Below are 10,196 nucleotides of genomic sequence, written 5' to 3'. Positions count from 1 at the left end.
TCATCATCCACATATAATGTACTGTTACCATCAACTTTTTCTCCCCCCTCCCTGCATATCAGGAATCTTAAGTATCCTTTCTGAATATGACCACCGTTAATCAATTCTTTATCATCACCTCATAGCAAGAAAATTGCAACAGCTTTCTAGCTTAGCTTTCCATACTGTATATATCCTATCCTGCTTATGATTGCAAGTTTATCTTCCTTGGTTTTATAATTTATTCTTAAATCACTCCAGACCCTGCCATCTCAAATCTAAACTACTCTCCTTGGCTTTCAAGGAATTTTATGAAGGGACCCAATCCTTCACAACCAACCTTGTTTCACACAATACACCAAAATGCACTGTTTTCTATTTCACAGATATGCCTTGCTCACATTATCTTGCCTGAAATCCCTCCGTATATCCTTTGAACTCATCCAAAATCTAGGTAGCCATCAAGACTAACTTTAATTTCTATCTTAACCACTGAGCTTTTTCATTTCTTTAAAAAACTTCCTTCTGACTACTAACAGCACTATTAACCTGAACCACAGAAGACTAGGCTAAGGTTCCTATTTTATGATTTCATTTTAATCTGTACTTGTCTTTTACTGTACTTTACATACTTGTTAAAAGGTCTGTATTCCCTATAAAACTGAAAACTCCATGAGGACAGAGACTAACCCAATGCTTAACGCAAAAACAGGGTCTAAACAGTTGTTAGTGATACACCAGTATTTAATTGTATAGTCTTGTATCCAGTATTATTTTATATATGCGGTTTCCTTGACTAGCTGTAATAAGCACTTGAGAGCGCTCCAAATAGCTTCTGTCATACAGCAAGGACACAGTTATTAGCACACAGTAGATTCTTAACATTCAGTGGTTGTCTGGTGAAAGGCAAAAAATTGGTCCCTATTGTGGGAAGACATGGATTTTCTGGCCATTCTTGAATGATGTGTGCCAAATGTGTTTTACTTCCCTAACCACCTAGTGGTGATGATGCTCCAGGCACAGCGCTTTAGAACACACTACATTTTGAATTCTGTTAAATACCACGATTAACTCCATTTCACAGAGGAGGACACCAAAACAGGTTAATTAACTTGCCCAAGGTCACACATTTAGTAAAATAACAGAGTTGGGATTTGCATCTAAGAAGCCTGGCCCCAGACTCTGGGCTCTTAACCACAATGCTGTTATTTATAACATAACTTCTTAAAACACACAACATATGTTTTAAATAGATAAAATGTTTTAAACCTGGACCAATAATAAAAACCCAATGCAACTTTCAAGGTCATCGTTAAGACAAATCTTTTTTTCACAGTATTTTTAGTTCTTTGTTATGTTCAAGTATATTTGTCCCAGTGCCCATCATAGAAATAGTAATTGCCTCAAGAGTATTTTTAGTTTATTTTATAAGTCTTGGATTTTAATGGACTGTAAAACATGAAACTATTGTACTGTAGTAGAAAGAACTGCTTTTGAAAAAGCAAGACATAGTGATCCACCTGGACTTTAGGTATGTGACTCTAGGCAGCTCACTTCAACCCCCTAATCCTTGACTCTTCTGTAAAATGAAAATAACTTCTTTGCAAGGCTACTTTGAGGATTAAAGGGAATAATATAGGCAAAGCCTTGGCCTGCACATACTAGGTACTCCAGAAATGGTGGTTAAAATTACGCATCAGAAAAATTATTTTAACTATATCTGACTGCAGTACACACTGAGTAACGTACAAATTCTTGTTTTATACTTTCATTACATAACAAAAAAAGGAATTTTAATGCAAATTATTTTCTTTGAGAGGTAGAGAGATAGTCTGGCATTGATATGGACAGGCAGTTTCAAAACAGCTTCACCAAATTAAAAAAAAATGCTCATAAGATTAAGATAATCTAATCTACATCAGGATTTTTACTTGACCTAGCATTTTTACTTAAAGTTCCAAATCTTTCTTTCTAAACTATTGAGAGACACTTCGTGTCTTCTGTTTATTATTTTTTCATTTTATATATTAATGGTTTTAATAAAGCTCTCAAGAACATTTCCCCTTTACTCTATAATTTTTTTTTTCCCAAAGTGATCATCCTAAACATGTGACTCACTACTCGTAAAGTCTTTAAACAGAGTAAGTGATGTGGGGTGTCAATAATGTTTCAGACTTAACGGGGATGAGAAAGCAAACACAAAGTATATTCAAGAAAAAAATGAATCACTGGTCAGATCCAAAGGTAAATTATCAAAGTGGTTATGATTTTAAGTTATAAAGAAACACTAGTGTTGCTGGAACATAATTAAAAACCTGGAATCATGCTTAATGTTAGCTGTAAAACAAATAAACAATCTGTACAATCACAGTTATAACTATATAGCTTTCATGAAAAATCTATCCTAGACTACAAAGAAAATTTGGGTTTGAGGCCAATACAATTTCATGATTATAATACATAACTGATACATCTCAACAACATAAAAATTGTAAGGAGAAAGAGTAACAACAGTGGTATTACTTTCAAGAATTGTGTTGGGAACTAAAAAATAATTTCACAAAATTAGATAAATATATCCAGTCTGACATAAACACCATATGGTAGCTGCCTTAAGAGACAGGAGTTGTATGTTACGTGTTAAATTATGACACAGAGGTAGTAGTAAGAGATGGAAAGCAAATGAAATTTGCACAGTTGGGTCTGAAGCCTAATATTTTCTTTTTCTAGATAAAAATAAAATTGCAATATAGGTATGGAGTATTTTTCTCCATCTAGTAAACATCATAGAAGGAAGCAGTTGTTAATATATTGCAATGATTTTCCAAATAACGGCATGGTTTAGCAGATCTTCCCTGGCTGCACTGTTTATTGAATTTTAGTTTAAAATAAAACTTAGTGTAACTACATTCGCAGCAACTGAAAATGGTCTGAAAATTTAATTTTTTCATACTTGAGGGGATAGAATCAATACCATAGTACAATTAGGAAGGTTTCAATTGACCTCTGGGTGACCTCTGGGTGAACCAATCACACAGACACCAAATACACTCCAGAAAGACTCAGATATGAGAACTATAAGATTCCGGGTCTTCCATCAAAGACTGCTTTGCAACAGAAAAATGAAAATAGTTGAAATACATGGGCAATATGCTGCCTCAAATTATTCTTGTAAGTAGGCAGTGTCAATATAAATCAATATTAAGATGGGATAAATCTAAAAGTTTAAACGTCTGCCTCAAAAAAACAAATATCTCCCCCACCCCCCAAAATCATAAAAAACCAAAACCCTAATTAAAAATATTTTTTTGAACTAGAGATAGGATCTTGCTATGTTGTCTAGGCTAGTCTCAAACTCCTGGCCTCAAGTGATACTCCCACCTTGGCTTCCCAAAGTGCTGGGATTACAGGTGTGGGCCACCACGCCAGCCAAAACCCTCATTTAAACAGGTTTTAAATACTTTACTTTGAGAAAAGATATATAATCTCTCTACCCACATAACAGAAAAGACATGATTATTCCAAATTTAGGTGCTGAATCCATCATATTTATAGCAATCCCATTTTGTGAGCATCTTGGCTGCTGAATCCCGTGTATTCATAAAGACAGTAGGAGTTATAGTCACAATTTTTTTTTATTTTTAGTTTTTTATGGCACTTCCAGTTTTTGGAACATATTACTTTAACTTGTTCAGCTATTTCAAAATGGCAGGGGAACTTTACCTTGGCAAAAACGCAACAGTGGCCAAAGTGCAAAGTATTTCTACTTTCCACTTTGTAGTGGTAGAACCATGAGCAGTGGTTCTACCACTAACAGCTCCACTTCTTATGAACAAGGAATAGGCACAATTAGAGAAAGAGCTGAAAGAGAAGAGGCAGAGAATGAAAGAGGAATTAAAAGAGAAAAATCAGGGGAAAGTATAAGAAAGATGGTAACGTAAACATAAAATTTAACAAGGATAAAAACATAAAAGAGAGAAGGGGAGGGAAGAAAGTGATGTCCAAGAAAAAGGAAGAAAAATGGTCAAAGATCTCTCTTACAATATAGTAATAAATTTATCAAACAACTTGAATTACCCTGTCATTAAAATCAACTCCACACTCAAATTATGCATTTTTTCCTCTAAAGAATTAGTAACTCATTGATCATCATCTCTGTTTAGAAATAAGGAAACCGCTTTGAAAAGTCAACATGCCTAGAGTTAAATAAGAAGTAGCATCTCTGTCCATCATTGCCTCAGAATTAGTCGAGATGACCAAGAATATTCATATAGAACTTGCCACATGTTCTTTTAAATAGCCAACACTGTTAGAGCATTAGAAAGTATTGGATTTGTAAGACATTTAACTTCCTCTGAAATGGTCTGTATATAAATCAAGATACAAAGATATCATCTCTCTTTCTGAATCTATAAACACTTTTCATTCAAATGAAAGCACTATTCTACTTTCCAGAGATACAAAAACTTTAATTCAAGTGATCATGAAGTATTAAAGACTTTTCCCACTTTATATAAATTGGTAAAATACTATGTGGCATGAACTCCCATTCTTCTCATGAATGACAATTTTTTTAAAATAAAAATTCCCTCTAATAATGTAGATAAATACAACCCAGGAACACTAAGCATAGTAAAATGTGATGCTTTATACAAGATTAGCTTATCTGCCAAAATGCCAAACCTAAGTGGAAATCTAAGGAACATACCTGGCTGCTGGCAATGCTTTCAGAGATCATTTTTGTCTACATCTGTGGTAGTTTTCTCTGAAAAACTGTAATCCACAATATTCTGAGCCTGTACACTAACCCATTCCAAGGGTGGCACAGTTAGGGACTCCTGTAAGTGTTCTGCCTTGGCTAGACAGACTTCACCTACAGCAGTCTCTTGAAAACTTGGTTGCCCATCTGAATTATTCTGTATTTGGGGAGAAAATATTAGTCATTTTAAAATAACTACACTGCCCTTCATTGACACAAATGTAATAATGACCACCTCATTAATAAAGAATATACTTTTGAGTTGTTTTCTAACACTGTTCCATAACTTATGCTAATTCATCCTTAACTGTTTCTCAACTGATCCTTTGGCCCAATGGTTACCTGGGACTAGTGGTACCAAATTGTGACAATAAAACAAAATGCTCTTTAAAATTATACTGAGAAAGGACAAATAATCTAGTTGTTACTGGCCTGCTGTAGAAATAATTTAATTGAATATTATTCTCCAGAATAAAATATCTACACTAAATTGTTCATCTCTTTCTTCTGATGATACATACAAATTTAAGGAATATAGCAAGAGTTGAATCGATAACCATATAATGGAAAAAACAAGAAACAAGAAAGATGTTAGCTGTTAAGTGAATAAAATTAAAAATGAAAGCAAGTGAAAAGTGGTTCTAAGCTAGACTTTTTTATGCCTTTTGTTTGTTTTGGAACCTAAAAGGCTCCTAATAAATGTTACAAATGTATACAATAAAATTAACAAAACCTTAACACTAGTTATAAAGAAATACTAAAGACATTACAAAATGATGTATTTTTTTCTCCCTTGGCAGTGGTGGTAGCATAGGAAACTAAGAAGTAATCTATGCAAGTTAACAATTAGTTTATTTCCTTTATAATGGACAAAATGGCCAGAAAAAGACTTTATTAATCATACAATTGGTGGCATATGTCTGTTGTCCAGCAATATGAATAAAACAGGCACTGGCAGTGACAGCAAGTGACGATGTGAGGCTTAAAACTCATGGTATTGGCTGGGCGCAGTGGCTCAGGCCTGTAATGTCAGCACTTTGGGAGGCCAAGGCGGGCAGATCACCTGAGGTCAGGAGTTCAAGACTAGAATGGCCAAAATGGTGAAACCCCATCTCTACTAAAAATATTAAAAAAATTAGCCTGGCATGGTGGCATGTCTGTAATCCCAGCTACTTGGAAGTCTGAAGCAGGAAACTGCTTGAACCCGGGAAGCAGAGGTTGCAGTGAGCCAAGATCGTGCCACTGCATTCCAGCCTGGGTGACAGAGCGAGACTCCGTCTCAAATGAAAAAAAAAAAAAAAACTCATAGTATTTCTAGTAAGTATGACAAAGGACATTTTTACTACTGCTTAAAGGGCTGGTTATAGACTCAATTGTGCCATAAAATGATCTTATCTTTGAGAGCTTCCTTTTTGAATCTCCTGGCATCGAATACTTTCACACACCCCAGTTCTTCTAGTCACTGGAGAACCCAATTCATACTAACAAGACAAGGGCAATGTGTTCCATGCCAGCAATCAATTACTGTAGTGACTCTTGGAGGGTGACAGGAAATATTCTGGAGGAAAATCCTGTCCAATTATACTACCAAGGGGGCCACCCACTTGCTTCACACTAAGACTGGCATTTATTACCTTATTATATGATATTAACACATTCACTATGTTTATGTTTTGAACTGTAGGGCATGGTCCTGATAAAGCAAGCTTTGGTTCATATAAATGTATATTGCATACACTTGACTCATATTTAACTATTTAATTATCCTAATTGCAACTGATCTTTTATTTCTCAAGAACAGACCATTTTCCTTTGAATAAATGCATAGCAATATTTTTAACATGTTACTGAATCGGTACACTACCCTTGGGTTATTCTGTTTCAATGCTTTATCAGTGATTATGTGGATTTTTCTAATCCTCAATTTAACACACCCAAATATAGAAAATAAGTACATAGCTTGATTTTTTACAACTTTAAGGAAAATGCTGAAAGCAGAACTTATGAAATGCCATATTTTACCTTAATTTTAGGTGAAATAATAAAATAGAAATTCAGTAATTCATGTAAATAAAAAATATCCCCTCAAAGACCTTACTACATTTTACAGATAATGCAAATTAAATAATTATACAATTATAATAGCCTCAAAACTGTATCTCAATCATGACTCAATTATAATATCTTTTTGCAGTTTTATGATTATTCTGGAGAAGCTGAAATTTATAAATTCTATTAAGATCAAAGACCTTCCAATACACTAAAATAATACTGAGACCATCATGATTTCTTATGAATAATCATTGTTTTAAACATCTTTGTGTCTTCACATAAATTATGAAAATTTAACTCAGAAGAAAAATACTGTAATCCATAATCCATTAAATAAAAAATACAGTGAGCTAGGTCAAAGTCAGTATTTTAAGAAATAATTAAGGTATTGTACTCAAGAGCACTTTTCTTTTTCACTAGGCTAGGAAAGTGAAACATAATTAGCATTTTACTCCGTGACAGCAAGTTCACTGCACTTCTAAATGCTTGACTATCTCCAAAAATACACTTTTCATTGTTTTATAATACACACATATTTTATACTTGTGAGTTAACATAGGTATTTTTCTTGAGAAGACATTACAAAATGAAGCACTGATATGAACAAAACCTCACAGGCAAGATTTTAGAAAATCTGAAATCATCTTGCCTGGGTCATAATTCAAAGACAGTGACAAATGTTGTTAGGGGAAACAAAATCAGTAGAAATATAAAATATGAAAAGTCTTTAAAATCCAGACAGCCAATATAAAAAACAGACAGACTTCAGTGAAAGCTTGGAGAGCTGTTTAAAGAAATGAGGTATGATGAAGTCATAGTGCTACAATATGTATCAATGTATTAAGAACCTATATTTCAAAGCTCCAAAATCAGCAAATCATAAACTATTTGCTGCTGTGTTCACATGACCTTACTGGTCAGATGTTTAATGGTCACTAATAATACATTTAAAATAAGCATGAAGCTAACTGCATGATCATATGGTGAGCTTATCCGCCACATATGAAGGCAAATTATAAGTAAAAATGTAAGCAAACAATTTTGTATTAATAATAAATAGAGCTTTAAGCATTTAACATTATCAATACTTTTAAAATTTAAATAAATGCACTATTTTATACAGAACTGTACCATTTATTATACACACAAGTATATCAGTTCCCTTTGTTAACAAAGGCTGGTTATAGATAATATGGAATGTTACAGTACCATCTTGCATAAAATTCTAGTACGATTTTGTACTTGAAAAAGGGTGCAAAAACACCAGACTAATAAATCTGACTGAATTGAAATATCTCTTCTTTCTTTTTAAAAAGTACATCATTAACACATACACCACAAACTGTACATAAGCTCACTTTAAATCACCAACTGGAGATATGGTAGCATGTATACTGTAGTGTTAATTATCCCTCCCATCAGTTTAATTTATTAAAGCCTTACACTGCTGTTCATTCAGGAGCCTTTGTTGATGTGCAAGCCTGTAATATGAATTACTGAACTCAGGTAAGTAGAATTTAAAGGAGGCCAACAACAGCTGCCAAGAATTATCTGCAGTAAGAAATGTCCTTCTCACAGAAGACTCAATTAGGAGCAAACATTTTTTAGACTATCTTCCTGCTTTCAAATATATTGTAGCCGGTCAAGATTCTCCATTTTGAACTCTGGATGCTGGTGGCTGCATGAAATCCTTAAAAGGAACTAGTGCCTCTTTAAGTGCAGAACAGACTTCTGAAGAAGAACAGGTGATGCATTCTACTAAAGTTGGGTATAAGGCAATTACTTGTGCCCAGGTATTTCCATCAACTGTAATGCAAAAGTATAAAACCTCAAAAGGGTGGAATTAAATAGAGATTATTCAATTAACATGAACACAATCCTTTAAACTGCATGTAAAGAAAAAACTCTGAAACATGAAGATTCTACAAGCTTGTATCTTTTTATCTTTTTAATTTTTCAAAGATTTCCTGCTATATTTAATAAGGTATGGGAAAAAATATATGCTCAGTGTGCAGTCATCAGTAACAATAAATTTGATAAAGTACATTTTAAATGGTATTTCAATTTGTGAAGGCTCTGAAAGCTAACAAAGCAATTCAGAACAATCCAAACCTTTGTCATTTTTAATATAATTGCGAGAGGATGTAGTGTACATTTCAAGAATTAGAAAATAACTTTTTCAGTTGTCTGCTAAAAGTAGAAATCTTTTGAAATACAAAATATGTTTAATGATTTTCCCAGTAATATCCTTGATATTCCTTTTAATTACAAACTGTCACAAACAGATCCATTCTTGTCTTGTACTGTTTGCTAATCTTTAATGTATATCATTAGATGTAGACTTGAGTGGGGAGGAACCATGTCTGGCTTCTTCACCACTATCATGAACAAATAGTACAGCTAAATGCTATTGCTACTGAAAGGACAAAAGTGTTATATCCCAATTAGTTATATTTTCCTATAAGTATTGTGCATAATGTTGGGCACCCAATATGCAAGATTTTTTTTAGACTTTTAGGTATTTTTAAAATTTTGTGAAACAAGTCTCAAATCTAAGAGGCATTATAGTATTAAAGAAAAATAAATACTATGTGTAGAGAGCTTTGATTCTGTTTTTCACTACAATTTACTGGGTGTCAATTGCCTAAAATTCTTTCTGAAATAAGGCAATGATGGGTGTCCCTGGTCAAGTCATTTAATTGCTCTTTATCTTACTTCTTCCACTGTAAAATAAAGAAATGTGTTTCTCAAACTAGTGTTCCTCAATTTACTTCTTAGGAAAAAGCTCATGATAAAGTAGTTTGGCAGATGTTTCATATCTCTCACCTTTTGGAGACTAATTCTTCATATCAATTTATTAAGGGCTTGTAGTAAAAGAACAAATTTAACTTTAACCCAGTGTTCCCTTAATTATGGATTTTTTTTCCATCCAATACCTACTGACATCAAACATCATCAATGTTCATGCCTTAGTACATATCTTGGAAAAATGCTATACTGTTAATTTAACCTTTTTCCCCAAACAGGGGCTTCCTCAGGGTGGGTGTGATAAGAAGAAATGGGGAATAGAGCTGATGGGTATTGCTGAGGGTGAGGAGTCAGGCTGGAGCTGTTCTGCTTTTCTCTGTTTTAATATGTTGGGAATTCACATCACATTTCATTTGTAAAAAGAATTTTGCTGCTTAACAGAATACAAAAGTCAAAAAGCCACTGTCTAAGAAGTTTTAAAAATTCTGCTTCAGTTGTCTCCTGTGAAACTTTACACTAATCATTTAACAAAAGATTAGATAGATTGAAACCTGTCTAGGTTGTCCCAGATGGAGAGTCAATTGACCAAATTAACCCTCAGTTTATTACGGTAAAACACAAAAGTATGTTATGATGACATCTTAAACTCAAAGGAAGC

General features: G+C 33.6%; 1 protein-coding gene across 12 annotated transcripts in view; it reads right to left on the bottom strand.

Moving 5' to 3' along the window:
• Positions 1–705: 705 nt before the first annotated feature.
• The window catches only part of MON2 (MON2 regulator of endosome-to-Golgi trafficking), a 133,651-nt gene continuing 124,160 nt past the window's right edge, over positions 706–10,196 (bottom strand). For all 12 annotated transcript variants that reach the window (XM_017019045.2, XM_047428542.1, XM_017019043.2 and 9 more), the window contains one exon: positions 706–8,596. In XM_017019045.2, coding sequence (XP_016874534.1) covers positions 8,433–8,596 — 164 coding nt within the window. In that variant the 3' untranslated portion in view covers positions 706–8,432. The remainder of the gene's footprint in view (positions 8,597–10,196) is intronic.

This window comes from Homo sapiens, chromosome 12 (genome assembly GCF_000001405.40).
Source record: "Homo sapiens chromosome 12, GRCh38.p14 Primary Assembly".
Lineage (NCBI taxonomy): Eukaryota > Metazoa > Chordata > Mammalia > Primates > Hominidae > Homo > Homo sapiens.
This window is presented reverse-complemented; position numbering and strand designations above follow the sequence as displayed.